General features: G+C 38.9%; 1 protein-coding gene across 2 annotated transcripts in view, besides 1 other annotated feature; it reads right to left on the bottom strand.

Moving 5' to 3' along the window:
• Window positions 1-19,719, bottom strand: part of CD38 (CD38 molecule) — a 74,905-nt gene that overhangs the window by 24,642 nt on the left and 30,544 nt on the right. The window contains exons 2-3 of one of the 2 annotated variants that reach the window (NM_001775.4): window positions 11,951-12,080; window positions 3,575-3,710 (exon numbers count right to left, since the gene is read on the bottom strand). In NM_001775.4, coding sequence (NP_001766.2) covers window positions 3,575-3,710; window positions 11,951-12,080 — 266 coding nt within the window. The remainder of the gene's footprint in view (window positions 1-3,574; window positions 3,711-11,950; window positions 12,081-19,719) is intronic. The other variant, NR_132660.2, reaches the window with a different exon arrangement.
• Window positions 15,560-16,279: an enhancer, noted in NCBI's record as "H3K27ac hESC enhancer chr4:15813935-15814654 (GRCh37/hg19 assembly coordinates)". NCBI's record gives its function as "activates a minimal SCP1, AML or CMV promoter by ChIP-STARR-seq in naive H9 embryonic stem cells {active_cell/tissue: H9 hESC(naive)}" and the evidence as "EXISTENCE:reporter gene assay evidence [ECO:0000049][PMID:30033119]".

Genomic DNA, 19,719 nt, shown 5'->3' with positions numbered 1-19,719 from the left:
CCCACAGAAAGACAAATGCTGCATGTCCTAATACATATGGAATCTAAAACAATCAAGTTCATAGAAGCAGATAATAGAATGGTGGATACAGAGACCAGAAGTTGGAAGGAATGGGGAGATGATGGTCAAAGAGTACAAAATCTCAGTTAGAAAGGGTTTTTAAAAATATTTATTGCACAGCATGGTGATTGTAGTTAATAATAGTGTGCTGTACATTTCAACATTGCTAAGACAGTAAACTTCACATTTTCTCACTACAAAAAATAAGTATTTGAGGTCGGGCCTGGTGGCTCACACCTGTAATCCCAACACTTTGGGAGGCTGAAGAGGGTAGATCGCTTGAGCCCAGGAGTTCAAGACCAGCCTGGGCAACATGGTGAAACCCTGTCTCTAAAAAAAATACAAAAAATTAGCCAAGTGTGGTGGCAGGCACCTGTAGTCCCAGCTACCTGGGAGGCTAAGGTAGGAGGACCACCTGAGCCTGGTAGGTCAAGGTTGCAGTGAATTGTGATTGCACCACTGCACCTCAGCCTGGGTGACAGAGTGAGACCCTGTCTCAAAAACTAAAAAAAGTATTTGAGGCGGTGGATATGTTAATTAGTTTGATTTAATTATCCCACATTGTATTCATAAATTCATTTTTCACCCCACAAATACATACAATTATAAATTGTCAACTTAGAATAAAAAGTAAATAAATACATATACATCAGGAACTTGAAAGATAATCTATAAAATAAGAAGAAATTAAAAATTGAGGCCAAAGTATTAGAATGTAGATAAATAAAACTACATATACATAATTCAATTTAAAAGAAGGCAAAAATAAGGAACTCTGAACTGTAAATAAATCAGTTCTTAAAAATAAATTATTTCATTTTCTCTACTTTATTTCAAGAAAAATTGAACAAATTAAAAAATAAAACAAAAGGAGAGAAGTCTACTGTAAATACATTTAAAAGCTAAATGTTAAATGAATGACCAATAAAACAGTCATTGTTAAAAGGGAAATTTAAAAAGGAAAACATGGAACATGGGAAAAACTGTAAAATCTAAAAAAATTAATGGAAAAACATATTTATATTACCATATTCTAGGTGGGAAGACTCAGATCTAAATATGGAAAATATTTTAAACATTGTGAAAGTAAAAATAGTAGGTGAAAATACAGAAGAATGCTTCTCTAAGAAGATCTTTTTAAGGAAGATATGAAACACAGAAGCTATAAGGAAGAGAACAGACAGGTTTTCTGCATTTCTGGGTGGCAAAAGACAGACCATAAACACCGTGTAAAGTCCAAAATAAGAAAAATATATTCGCCAACTTGAGCCAGAAAGTGGGCAGAAAAACATGGCAGTTAAGAGCAAAGTTTCTCAAGTTAGTCTGAGAAACTTTGCTTCTTGCTTTGCCACTTACTGGCTGGCAAATTACTTAACTCCATGCCTCAGACTTCCTATCTCTAAAATGGGATCACCATATGACCTCATGGGGCTGTGGAGGATTAAATGAGTGACTACTTACGTAGCACATGGAACACTGGCACTTTGTAAGTACTTAATACATCGTAGCTCTTATTAATTTATAAAGAACTTCTACTAATTAGAAAATAATAGATACCGCATACAGATGGTCAAAATATATGAACTGCCAGCTTACAGAAGAAACAGAAAATCTACCATTTATGTATATATAGTAGCCTCACCATCAAAGAACTTCACACTAAATTGAGGTATTATTTTCTTCTGAAATGAGCCAAAAATTTTAAAGTAACAATACCTGGTGTTAGTGGGGATATAGGTAAATAAACTATCTCATATACATTCTTTTTTTTTCTTTTTTTAGTGTAAAATAGAGATGGGGTCTTACTATGTTGCCCAGGCCGTTCTTAAACTACTGGGCTCAAGTGATCCTCCCTCCTCCACCTCCCAAAGTGCTGGGATTGCAGGTATGAGCCACTGTGCCTGGCCTCATATATATACTCTTGATGAGGGTATAGTTACCATCTTTTAAATGACATGTTACCAGTTTCTATTACAATTTATCCTTTAACATTGAAGTTTCATTTATAAAAATTTATCGTTCAAGTATGCAGGTGTGTGTGTGTGTGTGTGTGTGTGTGTGTGTGTGTGTGCGCACAAAAGTGTTTCTTACAATAATGACATAATAGCAACCAAAACTAAAGCAACTTAATATCCATTAATAGGATTCTTAATGATAAAGCCTTTTAAAAGAGGATAGCTATCTTTATACCTACCAATTTTAAGTGAATAAAGCAAGTTGCACAACAGCGCGTGTACATTTTAAATATATATGTTTACATTAGCATAGGAAAAGTCTAGAAAGATCTATATCAAATTGCTGATAATAGTTACCCTTTGAGAAGTGATGCGGAGGTAGGAGGTGAAGGGAAAATTCAGAGTGACATTTGCTTTTTGCTTTTATGCATTTCTGTAATGTGCAAGTATTTTTTTTTCAAATAATCATGCTTTATTTTTGTAATTGAAAGTAATGCAAACCTGGGACAAAGAAGCTATAATAAGATAAGCTTTTAAAAACAAACAATGAAAAACAGTAAAAATAAGAATAAAACTATATAAAGTAAAAATATCCACCATATAAACAAAAAGAAAAAAAAAAGAAGTGAAAACTGCAGTAGGGTTTTGGTTGTAGGAAATCCCTTCCCCTGGTGAGGTGTTGAGTCTTTCTGGGCAGGATAAGGCTACATCTGAAAAATGATGGCAAAGCCAGTGCCTGAGATGGAAGAGTCCAGTCCATGGCTACTGTGATGATTCTGAAGAGCAAGAACCTTGGTCTAGGTCCCACTGAGACCTCATCCTGTTCTAGACTTCTTTGGACCTGAATGATGACCTTACAGAGAGCAAAATACCAAGAATTCGGAAGCAGGCTATGTGAGCACTCAAAAGAAGGGAATTAGGGAGCATGGGCAATCCCCAACTCTGAAGTCAATTTTTCAAGAAAACAGGGAATGCTACTTTATATCAGCCTGAGTTGCCATTAAGGGTAGTGCTATAGTTTGGATATTTAACTCTCCAAACCTTATGTTGAAATTCGACCCCCAGTGTTGGAGCTCGGGACTAGTAGGAGGTGTTTGGGTCATAGGGATGATCCTGCACGAATGGCATGGTGCTGTCCTTATAGTAATGAGTTCTTACTCTACTAGTTCCCAGGACAGCTGGTCATTACAAACAGCCTGGCACCTCCCCTGACCTCTCCTTGCTTTCCTCCCTCACCATGTGATCTCTGTAAATGCCAGCTCCCCTTCCCCTTCTCCATGAGTGGAAACAGCCTCAGGCCTTCACCCGAAGTGGATGCTGGTACCCTACTTCTTGTACAGCCTGCGTAACTGTGAGTCAAATAAACCTCTTTTCTTTATAAATTACGCAGCCTCAGGTATTCCTTAATAGCAACACAAATGGACTAATATAAGTATAGATGGCATCAGGATGGGTGCCTGTGGCTCTGTCCTCCACACTAATCATTCAGGGCCTCCAGCAGAAGTCACTCTGTTCACCCTCCACATCCCTGGGCAATCCCACAGGGCCCAGAGCCTCACTGGAAGTGTTGAATTCACCACACCATGTGAGGTCATCAGCAAGGTAGCCTAGCAGCGTGTCCTCCAGGGTGAACATGTCCCGCTGGACCTGTGTGAACTGATGGGCCAGATCTTTTATTCTGCTCCAAAGAAGAATCTAAGGAAGAATAAATACAATCTATTACTGAGATCAATTTAGCATGTCAAAAAAAATTAATCCACAGTTTTGTAAATGAAAAAAAAAACAGAGCATATCAAAGTAAATCACCCATAGTAAGAGTAAGAATTGTTGTAAGCATCAATGATTTCTGTGTGCAGGAGAGTGGCGGAGAGAGAGTGTGTGTGTGTGTGTGTGTTCTAGGTCACAATGTAAATGAATCTTTTATTCTAGGTTGCAGTCAAAAAAGTCTGAAAGCCACTGATCAAAATCTTATAATCAACATAGGATCACATATGGAGGTGGCATCAGAGAGTTACGATATTCCTAAGGTTATCTCCAAAAAAACTTTGTCTACGTGCTATTTTCAGGAAGATGTGCTATTTGATTCTTAAAGAACTATATAACCCCTTCCAAATTCCCTAAATATTCCCTACCCCTACTAAAAAAAAAATACAATAGATTTTTAAATTTAAGGGTCCCTCTTAAAGGTACAGGGAGTCAAAGTTCAGAATTATATTCTGTTTTATGAATCTATTATTTTTATTTTTATTTTAAATAAAATGTATATCCTGGGCATGTATATCCAGGGTATACATGCAGGATGTGCAGGTTTGTTACATAGGTAAATATGTGCCATGGGTTTGCTGCACCTATTAACCCATCACCTAGGTATTAAGCCAAGTATGCATTAGCTATTTGTCCTAATGTTCTCACTCCCCTCACCCCAACCCCAACAAGCTACAGTGTGTGTTTTTCCCCTCCTGGTGTCCATGTGTTCTCACTGTTCAGCTCCCACTTATAAGTGAGAACATGCAGCATTTGCATGTTCCTGTGTTAGTTTGCTGAAGATGTGGCTTCTGGCTCCATCTATGTCCCTACAAAGGACATGATCTTGTTCCTTTTTATGGCTGCATAATATTTCATGGTGTATACGTACCACATTTTCTTTATCCAGCCTATCACTGATGGGCATTTGAGTTGATTCCATGTCTTTGCTATTGTGAATGGCACTGCAATGAACATATGCATGCACATATCTTTATAATAGAATGATTTCTATTATACCCAGTAATGGGATTGCTGGGTCAAACGGTATTTCTAGTTCTAGATCTTTGAGGAATTGCCACACTATCTTCCACAATGGTTGAACTAATTTACATTCCCACCAACAGTGTAAAAGCATTTCTATCTCTCCACAATCTCACCAGCATCTGCTGTTTCTTGACTTTTTAATAATGCCATTCTGACTGGCATGAGATTGTGGTTTTGATTTGCATTTCTCTAATGACCAGTGATGTTGAGCTTTTTTTCATATGTTTGTTGGCCACATGGATGTCTTCTTTTGAGAAGTGTCTGTTCATGTTCTTTGCCCACTTTTTGATGGGGCTGTTTATTTTTTTCTTGTAAATTTGTTTAAGTTCTTTGTAAATTCTGGATATTAGACCTTTGTCAGAGGGATAGATTGCAAAAATCTTCTCCCATTCTGCAGGTTTTCTGTTCACTCTGATGATAGTTTCTTCTGCTGTGCAGAAGCACTTTAGTTTAATTAGATCCCATTTGTCAATTTTTGCTTTTGTTACAATTGCATTTGGCAATTTCATGAAATCTTTGCCTGTGCCTGTGTCCCAAATGATATTGCCTAGATTTTCTTCTAAGGTTTTTATAGTTTTGGGTTATACATTTAAGTCTCTAATTCATCTTAATTTTTGTATGAGTTGCAAGGAAGGGGTCCAGTTTCAATTGTCTGCATATGGCTAGGTAGTTCTCAAGCACCAGTTATTAAATGTGGATTCCTTTCCCCATTGCTTGTTTTTGTCAGGTTTGCCAAAGATTAGATGGCTGCAGATGTGTAGTTTTATTTCTGAGATCTCTACTCTGTTCTATTGGTCTATGTGTTTATTTTTGTACAAGTACCATGCTATTTTGGCATCTGTAGCCTTGTAGTGCAGTTTGGAGTTGGGTAGCACGATGCCTCCAGCTTTGTTCTTTTTGCTTAGGATCATCTTGGCTATATGAGCTTTTTTGGTTCCATATGAATTTTAAAATAGTTTCTTCTAATTCTATGAAGAATGTCAATAGTAGTTTAATGGGAATAGCACTGAATCTATAAATTACCTTGGGCAGTATGGCCATTTTCACGATATTGATTCTTCCTATCCATGAGGAAGGAATGTTTTTCTATTTGTTTGTGTCCTTTCTGATTTCCTTGAGCAGTGGATTATAGGTATCCATGAAGAGGTCCTTCACTTCCCTTGTTTGCTGTATTCCTAGGTATTTTATTCCCTTTGTGAATGGGAGTTCATTCATGATTTGGCTCTCTGCTTGCGTGTTGTTGGTGTACAGGAATGCTTGTGATTTTTGCACATTGATTTTGTATCCTGAGACTTTGCTGAAGTTGCTTATCAGCTTAAGAAGCTTTGGGGCTGAGATGATCCGGTTTTCTAGTTATAGGATCATGTCATCTGCAAACAAAGACAATTTTATTTCCTTTTTTCCATTTGAAAAGACTTTATTTCTTTCTCTTGCCTGATTGTCCCGGTCAGAACATCCAATACTATGTTGAATAGGAGTGGTGAGAGAGGACATCCTTGTCTTGTGCCGGTTTTCAAGGGGAATGCTTCCAGCTTTTGCCCACTCAGTATGATATTGCTTGTGGGTTTGTCATAAATGGTTCTTATTATTTTGAGGTATGTTCCTTTGATACCTAGCTTATTGAGAGTTTTTAACGTGAAGGGATGGTGAATTTTATCGAAGGCCTTTTCCGCATCTATTGAGATAATCATGTGGTTTTTGTCTTTAGTTCTCTTTATGTAATGAATTACATTTATTGATTCATGTACGTTGAACCTGCCTTGCATCCTGAGGATGAAGCCAACTTGATCATGGTGGATAAGCTTTTTGATGTGCTGCTGGATTCAGTTTGCCAGTATTTTGTTGAGAATTTTTGTATCGATGTTCTTCAGGATATTGGCCTGAAGTTTTCTTTCTTTCTTTTTTTTTTTAAATCTCTGCCAGTTTTTATTATCAGGATGGTGCTAGTCTCATAAAATGAGTTAGGGAGGAGTCCTTACTTTTCAATTTTTTGGAACAGTTTCAGAAGAAAGGGTATCAGCTCCTCTTTGTAAATCTGGTAAAATTCAGTTATAAATCTGTCTGATCCTGGGCTTTTTTTTTTTTTTTTTTGGTTGGTATTTATTACTGCCTCAATTATAGAACTTGTTATTGGTCTGTTCAGGAACTCAACTTCTTCCTGGTTCAGTCTTGGGAGGGTGTATGTATCCAGAAATTTATTCATTTCTTCTAGATGTTCTAGTTTATTTGCATAGAGGTATTTATAGTATTCTCTGATGGTTGTTTGTATTTCTGTGGTGATATCCCCTTTATCATTTTATTGTATCTATCTGATTCTTCTCTATTTTCTTTATTAGTCTAGCTAGCGATCCATCTATTCTATTAATTTTTTTTCAAAAAACCACCTCCTGCATTCATTTTTTTTTGGAAGGGATTTTTGTGTCTCTATCTCCTTCAGTTCTGCTCTGAGCTTGGTTATTTCTTGTCTTCTGCTAGCTTTGGGATTTGTTTTCTCTTGGTTCTCTAGTTCTTTTAGTTGTGATGTTAGGATGTCAATTTGATATCTTCCTAGCTTTTTGATGTGGGCATTTAGTGCTATAAATTTCCCTCTTAACACTGCTTTAGTTGCATCCCAGAGATTCTGATACATTGTCTCTTTTTTCCTATTAGTTTCAAAGAACTTCTTAATTTCTGGCTTAATTTTATTATTTACCCAGGAGTCATTCAGGAGCAGGTTGTTCAATTTCCATGTAATTGCATGGTTTTCAGTGAGTTTCTTAATCTTGAGTTCTAATTTGATTGTGCTGTGGTCTGTGAGATTGTTTGTTATGATTTTAGTTCTTCTGCATTTGCTGAGGAGTAATTTACTTCCAATTGTGTGATCAATTTTAGAGTAGATGCCATGTGGCACCAATAATAATGTATATTCTGTTGCTTTGGCATGGAGACTTCAGTAGATATCCATCAGGTCCACTTGATCCTGAGCTGAGTTCAGGTCGTGAATATCTTTGCTAATTTTCTGTCTTGATGATCTGTCTAATATTGACAGTGGGATGTTAAATTCTCCCACTATTATTGTGTGGGTATCTAAATCTCTTTGAAGGTCTCTAAGAACTTGTTTTATGAATCTCGGTGTTCCTGTATTGGGCACATATATATTTAAGATAGTTTGCTCTTCTTGTTGAATTTACCCCTTTATCCTTATGTAATACCCTTCTTTTTCTTTTTTGATCTTTGTTGGTTTAAAGTCTGTTTTGTCATAAACTAGGATTGCAACCCCTGCTCTTTTCTGTTTCCCATTTGCTTGGTAAATATTCCTCCATCCCTTATTTTGAGCCTATGTGTGTCTTTGCATGTGAGATGGGTCTCTTGTATACAGCACACCAATTGATCTTGACTATCCAGCTTGCCATTCCATGTCTTTTAGTTGGGACATTTAGCCCATTTACACTTAAGGTTAATTTGTTATGTGTGAATTTGATCCAGTTATCATGATGCTAGCTGGTTATTGTGAAGATTTGTTTACGTAGTTGCTTCATAGTGTCATTGGTCTGTGTACTTCGGTGTGTTTCTGTAGTGGCTGATAATGGTTTTTCCTTTCCATATTTAGTGCTTCCTTCAGGAGCTCTTGCAAGGCAGGCCTGGTGGTGACGAATTCCCTTAGCATTTGCTTGTCTGAAAAAGATTTTATTTCTCCTTCATTTATGAACTTAGTTTGGCTAGATATGAAATTCAAGGTTGGAAATTATTTTCTTTAAGAATGTTGAATATTGGCCCCCAATCTCTTCTGGCTTGTAGGTTTCTGCTGAGAGGTCTGCTGTTAGTCTAATTGGCTTCCCTTTATAGGTGACCTGGAGAATCTGATGATTATGTGTCTTGGGGTTGATCTTCTCATGGAGTATCTTACTGGGGTTCTCTGGATTTCCTGAATTTGAATGTTGGCCCATCTTGCTAGGTTGAAGAAGTTCTCCTGGATGATATCCTGAAGTGTGTTTTCCAACGTGGTTTCATTCTTCCTGTCTCTTTCAGGTACCCCAATCAGTCATAGGTTCTTTTTATGTAATCCCATAGTTCTCAGAGGTTTTGTTTGTTCCTTTTCATTCTTTTTTCTCTAATCTTGTCTGCCTGTCTTATTTCAGCAAGATACTCTTCAAGCTCTGATATCCTTTCTTCTGTTTGGTCTATTTGGTTATTGATACTTGTGTTTACATCTTGAAGTTCTCGTGTTGTGTTTTTCAGCTCCATCAGGTCATTTATGTTCCTCTCTAAACCAGTTATTCTGGTTAACAGCTCCTATGTTTTATCATGGTTCTTAGCTTCTTTGCAGTGGGTTAGAATATACTCCTTCAGCTCAGTGAATTTCATTATTATGCATCTTCTGAAGCCTACTTCTGTCAATTCATCCACCTCAGCCTCAGCCCAGTTCTTTTTTTTTTTTTAACATTGGGTAAATGTAGCTAGTATCTTTTGTTTTTTTATACTTTAAGTTCTGGGTTACATGTGCAGAATGTGCAGTTTTGTTACATAGGTATACACATGCCATGGTGGTTTGCTGCACCCATCAACCCGTCACCTACGTTAGGTATTTCTCCTAATGTTATCCTCCCCTAGCACCCACCCCTGACAGGCCCTGGTGTGTGATGTTCCCCTCCCTGTGTCCATGTGTTCTCACTGTTCAACTCCCACTTATGAGTGAGAACATGTGGTGTTTGGTTTTCTGATCTTGTGATAGTTTGCTGAGAATGATGGTTTCCAGCTTCATCCATATGCCTGCAAAGGACATGAACTCATCTCTTTTTAGGGGCCTCAGCCCAGTTCTATGCCCTTGTTGGAGATGTGTTAAGATCATCTGGAGGAGAAGAGGCACACTGGCTTTTTGAGTTTTCAGCATTTTTGTGCTGATTCTTTCTCATCTTCTTGCATTTATCTACCTTTGATCTTTGAGGCTACTGACCTTTGGATGGGTTTTTGTGGGGTCTTTTTCATTGATGTTGTTGCTTTCTGTTTTTTCTTTTAGCAGTCAGGCCCTTTCTTCCATAGGGCTGCTGCAGTGTGCAGGGGGTCCACTCCAGACCCTATTCACCTGGGTTCCTCCCGCACCTGAAGGTATCACGAGTGGAGGCTACAGAACAGCAAAGATGACAGCCTGCTCCTTCCTCTGGAAGCTTCATTCCAGAGGGGCACCGGCCTGATGCCAGCCGGAGCTCTCCTGTATGAGGTGTCTATCGACCCCTGTTGGGTGGTCTCTCTCAGTCAGGAGACACAGGGGTCAGGGACTCACTTGAGGAGGCAATCCGTCCTTTAGCAGAGTTGGTGTGCTGTGCTGGGAGAATCCCTCTTGTCAGGATCAGCTGCTGTCTTCAGAGCCAGCAGGCAGGAATGATTAAATCCACTGAAGCTGTGCCCACAGCTGCCCCTTCTGCCAGGTGCTCTGTCCCAGGGAGACGGAGGTTTTGTCTGTAAGCCCCTGACTGGGGTTGTTACCTTTCCTTCAGAGATGCCCTGCCCAGTGAGGAGGAATCTAGAGAAGCAGTCTGGCCACAACCACGTTGCCACACTCAGTCCAGACTTCCCAGCCCCCTTAGCACTGTCAGGGGAAAACCGCCTATTAAAGCCTCAGTAATGGCGGACGCCCCTCCCCCCACCCAGCTCCATCATCCCAGGTCAACTTCAGACTGCTGTGCTGGCAGCAAGAATTTCAAGCCAGTGGTTCTTAGCTTGCTGGTCTCCGTGGGAGTGAGACCCGCTGAGCGAGACCACTTGGCTCCCTGGCTTCAGCCCCCTTTCCAGGGGAGTGAACAGTTCTGTCTCACTGGGGTTTCAGGCGCCACTGGGGTACGAAAAAAACTCCTGCACCTAGCTTGGTGTCTGCCCAAACAGCGGCTCGGTTTTGTGCCTGAAACCCAGGGCCCTGGTGGTGTAGACACACGAGGAAACCTGATCTCAGATGGAAATGCAGAAATCACCCACCTTCTGCGTTGGTCTCACTGGGAGCTGCAGACTGGAGCTGTTCCTATTCAGCCATCTTGGCTCCTCCCCCTATTCATTCTTAATGGGAGTCAGTGAAGGATACTGGTTTAAAGTATGGGCCCTAAAATCCCAGCCCTTATTGAAGCCCAGCATCATCATCACTTATCAGGTGTTTCACCTTGAGCAACCAAAACATCACTAAGCCCCACTTTCTACACCTGTAAAATGGTAATGATAATGACTGAAATAAACTAATGGGGTGCTAGGGAAATTAACTGAGATAAATGCAAGTAAATTGCTTAGCATACTATCCATCGCATAGTCACTTATTTGACAAATGTCAGCCTGGGTTATTATTTGCCAAACACCTTCTCTGCATAGGGCATCACGCCTAGTGAATGGAGAAGTTTCACAATGACTCCAGCTCACTAACAATGGAATGAGAGGCTGTAATTTCTGGATGGATTTAAGGGCTTCACAAAGAAAATTTTAGGCACATGGAATTTTGCCTTAAACATTGGCTATAGAAAAGGTGCACTCTGATAGAGCTTTTCCAATATAACCAATGTATTAGAATCCAGGCCTCTGTGGCTCCAGGTCTCATACCATTTACATTTAAACTGGTCACTTTGAAGCCTGTCAAACTTGGGCAACACTGGTCACCTAAACACACCAACCCTCAGTTTTCTCACTGGTGAAATTGGGATGCTGACACCTGATGTGCCCATTCCAGAGAATGGCTATGAAGGCCTAAGAAAGTAAGGATTAGGAGAGTCTTTTGTAAGCAAGAAAAAGAAGAAGCAGTCTGCAAGTGTAACTTGGCATTGCTGTTATTACTACTACTACTACTATTATTATCATAGGTCAGGGGAAAGTTTTGTTATTATATAGGTCGTGTTAATTTGTTTGTTCGAGTTGGGTTTGGTGTTAGGTTTTTTCTGCCTAGTTTTTGGCCAAAGCCCCTTTCCTATCTCTGTATCCCTATTTCTCTCTCTTAGCTCCCTTCTCCAGATGTCCTAAATCTTAATTATATCATGGCCCCTCAATGGCCTGCAAATTCCATTCCTACCAACCACACTCACACTATAATGTCTGGATTTTTCCTCTTCCTTCATTCTAATAAAAATTTGGACCTATGAATTGTTACCATTGGCTTTTATCCCCAGTTTTAAAATCAATGGCATGCCCCCAATTACCTTGTTGCAAGGTACGGTCTGAGTTCCCAACTTCATTAGTGGCTGATAGTCTTCTTCAGTAATGTTGCAAGGATGTTTTGAAATAAATGCACCCTTGAAAGCATCCCATACACTTTGGCAGTCTACATGTCTGAGATAAAACACAGAAAATAAAACATAAATTATTTGATTTTAAAAATATTTTTGGAGCATAATTATTTTTTAGAATCTTATTTAGGAAGCATCTATTATATGCCAGGTAGTTCATACATATTATCTCGTCTAACATGCAGTCTACCAGGGGTACAAAGAGGAGCTGGTACCATTCCTTCTGACACTATTGCAAACAATAGAAAAAGAGGGACTCCTCCATAAGTCATTTTATGAGGCCAATATCATCCTAATACCGAAACCTGGCAGAGACACAATAAAAAAAGAAAATTTCAGTCCAATATCCCTGATGAACATCGATGCAAAAATCCTCACTAAAATACTGGCAAACTGAATCCAGCAGCACATCAAAAAGCTTATCCACCACGATCAAGTTGGCTTCATCTCTGGGATGCAAGGCTGGTTCAACATACACAAATCAATAAACATAATCCATCACATAATCAGAACCAATGAAAAAAATCACATGATTATCTCAATAGATGCAGAAAAGTCCTTCAATAAAATTCAACATCCCTTCATGCTAAAAACTCTCAATAAACTAGGTATCGATGGAACATATCTCAAAATAATAAGAGCTATTTCTGAAAAACCCATAGCCCATATCATACTAAATGGGCAAAAGCTGGAAGCATTCCTATCGAAAAGTGGCACGAGACAAGGATGTCCTCTCTCACCACTCCTGTTCAACATAGTATTGGAAGTTCTGGCCAGGGCAATCAGACATAAGAAATAAATAAAGTGTACTCATATAGGAAGAGAGAAAGTCAAATTGTCTCTGTGTGCAGATGACATGATTGTATATTTAGAAAACCCCAACGTCTCAGCCCAAAACCTCCTTAAGCTGATAAGCAACTTCAGCAAAGTCTCAGGATATAAAATCAGTGTGCAAAAATCACAAGCATTCCTATATACCAATAATAGACAAGCAGAGAGCCAAATCACGAGTGAACTCCCATTCAAAATTGCTACAAAGAGAATAAAATACCTAGGAATACAACTTACAAGAGACATAAGGACCTCTTCAAGGAGAACTACAAACCACTGCTCAAGGAAATAAAGGACACAAACAAATAGAAAAAATTCCATGCTCATAGATAGGAAGAATAAATATTGTGAAAATGGCCATATTGCCCAAAGTAATTGATAGATTCAATGCTATTCCCATCAAGATACCATTGACTTTCTTCATAGAATTAGAAAAAAACTACTTTAAATTTCATATGGAACCAAAAAAGAGCCCGTATAGCCAAGACAATCCTAAGCAAAAAGAACGAAGTTGGAGGCATCACGTTACCTGACTACAAAGTGTACTACAAGGCTACAGTAACTACAGTACTAGTACCAAAACAGATATATAGACCAATGAAAGAGAACGGAGACCTTGGCCGGGCACGGTGGCTCACGCCTGTAATCCCAGCACTTTGGGAGGCTGAGGCAGGCAGATCATGAGGTGATAAGTTCGAGACAAGCCTGACCAACATGGTGAAACCCCATCTCTACTAAAAATACAAAAATTAGCCAGGCGCGGTGATACATGCCTGTAATCCCAGCTACTCAGGAGGCTGAGGTAGGAGAATTGCTTGAACCAGGGAGGCGGAGGTTGCAGTGAGCCGAGATCGTGCCACTGCACTCCAGCCTGGGTAACAGAGCGAGATCTCATCTCAAAAAAAAAAAACAAAAAACAAAAAACAAAAAACAAAAACAGAACAGAGACCTCAGAAATAATACCACATGTCTACAACCACCTGATCTTCAACAAACCTGACAAAAGCAAGCAATGGAGAAAGGATTACCTATTTAATTAATAGTGCTGGGAAAACTGGCTAGCCATATACAGAAAACAAAAACTGGACCCCTTCTTTACACCTTATACAAAAATTAACTCAAGATGGATTAAACACTTAAATGTAAAACCTAAAACCATAAAAACCCTAGACGAAAATCTAGGCAATACCATTCAGGACATAGGCATGGGCAAAGACTTCATGACTAAAACACCAAAAGCAATGGCAACAAAAGCCAAAATTGACAAATGGGATCTAATTAAACTAAAGAGATACTGCACACCAAAAGAAACTACCATCAGAGTGAACAGGCAACCTACAGAATGGGAGAAATTTTTTGCAATCTATCCACCTGACAAAGATCTAATATCCTAAGTCTACAACTTAAACAAATTTACAAGAAAAAAACAACCCCATCAAAAAGTGGGCGAAGGGTATTAACAGATGCTTCTCAAAAGAAGACATTTATGTGCCCAGCAAACATATGAAAAAAAGCTTATCATCACTGGTCATTAGAGAAATGCAAATCAAAATCGCAATGGATACCATCTCACGCCAGTTAGAATGACGATCATTAAAAAGTCAGGAAACAACAGATGCTGGTGAGGCTGTGGAGAAATAGGAATGCTTTTACACTGTTGGTGGGAGTGTGAATTAGTTCAACCACTGTGGAAGATAGTGTGGCGATTCCTCAAGGATCTAGATCCAGAAATATCATTTGACCCAGCAATCCCATTACTGGGTATATACCCAAAGGAGTATAAATCATTGTACTATAAAGACACATCCACACATATGTTTATTGGAGCACTATTTACAATAGCAAAGACTTAGAGCCAACCCAAATGCCCATAAATGATGGACTGAATAAAGAAAATGTGGCACATATACACCATGGAATACTATGCAGTCATAAAAAAGAATGAGTTTATGTCCTTTGCAGGGACATGGATGAAGCTGGAAGCCATCATTCTCAGCTAAAAAACACAGGAACAGAAAACCAGACACCACGTCTTCTCACTCATAAGTGAGAGTTGAACAGTGAGAACACATGGACACAGGGAGGGGAACAACACACACCGGGGCCTGTCGGCGGGGGTGGGGAGCAAGGGGAGGGAGAGTATTAGGACAAATACCTAATGCATGTAGGGCTTAAAACCTAGATGATAGGTTGATAGGTGCAGCAAACCACCATGGCACATGTATACCTATGTAACAAACCTGCACGTTCTGCACATGTGTCCCAGAACTTAAAGTAAAATTTAAAAAAAAATTAACATGTAAAAATCCATCAATTTAATGTGCTGTATTTTGTAGAATGACAAAAACCATATGATCATCTCAATAGACACACAAAAATATTAACAAAATCCAACACTCTTGTGATGAAAAAAACACTGAGCAGATTAGAAATAAAATTTCCTCAACCTGATAAAATTCATCTATTAAACCCCACAGCTAACATTATACATAATGGCAAAAGACTGGATGCTCCCCCTTAAAATCAAGTACAGTCCAAAGATGTCTGATTTCATTACTTATATTCAACATTGTATTGGAGTTCTAGCCAAGGAATTTAGGTAAGAAAAATAAACTAAACTCATCCAGATTAGATAAGAAGAAGTAAACCTATCCCCTTCATGGATGACATGAAATACTGTATATAGAAAATTATAAGAAATCCACAAAAAGGAAACTGTTAGAACGAGTAAACATGGTCAGCAAGGTTTCAGGTTACAAAATCAGTGTACAAAAATCAATTGTATACTATCAATGAAAAATATACTATCAATGAAAAATATAAAATCAAAATTTAAACAATTCCACTTATAATAGCAGCAAAACAATTAATATTCTTAGGAGTAAATATAACAAAGAATTACAGGACTGGAACATTGAAAAATACACAACACTGTTACAAAGTAAAGAAGACCTGAACAAATGGAAAAACATTCTACATTCATGGATCAGGAGACTTAATATTGTTTTTGTTTTTGTTTTTTTGAGACAGAATCTCGCCCTGTTGCCCAGGCTAGAGTGCAATGGTGCGATCTCGGCTCACTGCAACCTCTGCCTCCAGGGTTCAAATGATTCTCCTGCCTCAGCCTCCTGAGTAGCTGGGATTACAGGCACATGCCACCATGCCCAGTTTTTTATTATTATTATTTTTAGTAGAGACGGGGTTTTACCAGGTTGGCCAGGCTGGTCTCGAACTTCTGAGCTCGTGATCCACCCGCCTCGGCCTCCCAAAGTGCTGGGATTACAGGCGTGAGCCACCGTGCCCGGCCAGAAGACTTAATATTGTTAAGATGACAGTATTCTCCAAGCTGATTTACAGCTTCAATGTAATCTCTATAAAAATCCCAGTTCCTTCTTTTGCAGATAGTGACAGTTTAACTTAAAATTCATATGGAAATGTAAGGAACACAGAAGAGCCAAAAATCCTGAAAAAGAAGACCAAAGTTGAAAGACACAAACTTCCTGATTTCAAAACTTACTACAATGCTACAGTAATCAAGATAATTGGTACTGGCATAATGATGTAATCACAGGACCAGTTCTAACTGGCCCTACTCTGATGATAATAGTATGTCAAGTTATTTAACAGGCACAAAGTCAAAAAGTTGTTAAGTCATGCAGCCGAAGCAATGCAGAAAAGAAGACCTCAACCTTGAATAACACCCAGAAGAAAAATTCCTCTCCTGCCCCACCACAGAAGAAAATGGTCAAGACATGACTGGAACCTGAGGGCCCAAACATTTTTAAAAGCAAGAAACCTGAGCCCAGGCATGTCCAGTGTTAAGACCCTTACCATACCTTACCATAAATGGTCTTGTTTAAAGTACTTCCAGTTGAAACCTGCCCTACCAGTGCTTCTGCATACCAGCTTGCCCTCCCTAACCCATAAAACTTGTCCCAGATCCCAGAAGGGGAGACAGATTTGAGCTTTGCATCCTGTTTCCTTGCAAGTCAACCTCACGATAAAGCTTTTGCTTTTCTCAAAAACCAGTTCCATAATATTGGCTTCCCTATCTGTCAGGCAGCAAGCACATTGCTCAGTAACAATGATAGAAATATAGATCAATGGAATAAAGAGTCCAGAAATAAAGTCTTACAGTTACCATCAATTAATTTTAGACAAGAGTGCCAAGGCCATTCAATGGGAAAAAAAAAACAACACTTTTCAACAAATGGTGCAGGGACAACAAGATATCCACATGCAAAAGAATAAATTAGGACCCATACTTTACACCATATACAAAAATTGACTCAAAATGAATGAAAGACCTAAATATAAAAGGTAAAATTAGAAAATTCTTAGAGGCAAACATAGAATAAAAAATTGTCATAACCTTGGATTAGGCAATTATTTCTTAAATATGATACCAAAAGCACAGCAACAAAAGAAAAAATACATAAATTACACTTTATCAAAATTAAAATCCTACGTTCTTCAAAGGACGCCATCAAGAAAGTGAAAATAAAATTCACAGAATGGATTAAAATATTTGTAAATATTATTTCTGTTTCAGGACTTGCATCCAGAGTAGTAAAGAGCTCTTATAATTCAATAATAAATGGATAACCCAATTAACAAATGGGCCAATAATTTTATACACATTTTTTCATAAGAGATATAAAAATGGCTAATAAACACACATAAAAATGCTCAACATCATTAGTCACTAGGGAAGTAGAAATCAAAACGAAGAGATACCACTCACCACTCACTAGGATTGGGCTAGGGGTTGAATTATGTCCCATTTGAAACTCACATAATGAAGTCCTCAGCCCAGTACCTTAAAATGTGACCATTTAAAAATAGAACAGTTGCAGGTGTAATTAATTAATGCAAGGGTGGCATCCAACAATCATGTTTTAATAAGCCCTCCAGGCAATTCTGATGCAAGTTTAGGTTTGAGAATCATTGGGTTATACATGAAAATGTGAAGAGTTCAACAGCGGTTTCTTTCCAATATCTGTGCACCATATTTCCACTTCATCCACACTTGCCTTTGAAAGCTATGCCAGGAAACCATTATCAACCTGGTTTTCTCCGTACATTATATATTTAAGGAAAAAAAAGCTTATTACATTATGTACTTCAATGTCAATGAAAATTTATGGGGCACCATTTTGGATAGTTTAGAGAAAAGAGATTTGGCAGCGATTTTCCTTTAGGGGATCTTGTTTCAATTCTATTAATGCAGTGGCCTTCTTGGGAACTTCCTGTTCCCATACTCCAACTCCCTTGTAAAACTCTTCTACATCTTTCCTTAGCAGCATCTTTGCAGACAAAGATGGAAGAATAAGATAATTTTCCACTACAAAAGATCTGGCAGGAAAGAGAAATTCATGTGCACTGAGCACCTACATGTACCAGATGCTTTCATAAGTGTGTTTATATATAATCACCAAAACTTTTATTGAGTCCCACAGAGAATTAAGACACCTCCAGAATTATTTTTATTCTTCTTGGGTATATATATCCTACTTCAAGAAACATTACCTCAGTATTCAAGAAAGTCCAGGTTACAAATTTAACAGAATTCCTTGTTTAGACGGAGCAGAGCTATAGAACGTTAGAGTTGAAACAGACCTAGGAAGAGTTTGTAACTTAACTCTCTGCCCTTTCTACATCTTATGAATCCGAGCTTTCAGTGTGCCCTACAAATTAGAGAAAATGAGTAGAGGCAATGAGAAATCTGGGGGCAGGTTTTATGAAACTATTTATTTTATCCTTAAAGCCAAACACCTCACCTTGGTTGTGCGAGTCAATTTTTTTGTTGGTTTGGATATATATGTTGAAATAAAAAGGGATTGGGACTGCAGTAGACAGGGATGGGGGCAGATCTTTCCAACTAAAGAAGGAGCAGAGAAGGAATGAATCATTTCTGGAAGTTCAATAATATTTTTTTCAAAGATTCTTCTGTTCCAAAATTGGAAGTCTTCATCAGGAGACGTCTAGGGGTGCCTGCAGTTGGGACAGGGAGACAGTGTCACGGCAATTACTAGCTCAGCAGCCGTTCCTGAGAGCTCATTCTGTGCCGGTGATTTGCTCCTTCCTAAACCAGAAGTGCTGTTGGAAGTCAGAGGTTCTCAGCCCTGGCCACACTTCAAGGTCACCTGAAGAGCTTTGGAAAAGCTGCAGTGCCTGCTTTCAGACCCACCAAGTGAGAATGGGGAAAATGGAAGACCCCAGAACCAAGAATTTCTAAAAAGGTCTCCCAAACGATTCTAATGGTCAACCAGGGGTGATGAGAAGTAACCTAACGAAACCCCTTCATTTCGCAAATGAGAAAAAGGAAGTTTATAAAGGAAATGTGACTAGCCCGAGGTCACACAGCTGTTAAATGTTAGACCAGCAGTTATTCAACTAGTTTTCCCCAGCACTTAAACTCAGGCAGAACCAGAACCTCCAAGTGTCTCCTGATTCCCTCCACCACCTCCCTCAGCTGCTACTGCCTTACTTTACTTTCATTTCTTACCGCCAGTTAGCCAACAATCAGCAATGACTAATCATTGTACTAATTATAACAACCACAACAATTAGCATTTACCAAGTGCTTTCTTCACGCAGCCATCTGGCTAAGTGTTTTACAGGCATCTCATTGGATCCTCATTCACACATACCTATTATCTCCAGTTTACCTATAAACTCAGAAGACCAAGTAACTTGCCCAACACTCCACAACTAGAATATCCCAGCCAGAATTTGCATCTTGTCCTGTCCAAGTCCAGACCACATACCCCTAGACACTTCACCAGACAGCCTCCCAAGAGGCCATCCCAAACGTTGCTTCCAAGAACAGAGGGCGAGCCCCCTACAAT

This window comes from Homo sapiens, chromosome 4 (genome assembly GCF_000001405.40).
Source record: "Homo sapiens chromosome 4, GRCh38.p14 Primary Assembly".
Classification (NCBI taxonomy): domain Eukaryota; kingdom Metazoa; phylum Chordata; class Mammalia; order Primates; family Hominidae; genus Homo; species Homo sapiens.
This window is presented reverse-complemented; position numbering and strand designations above follow the sequence as displayed.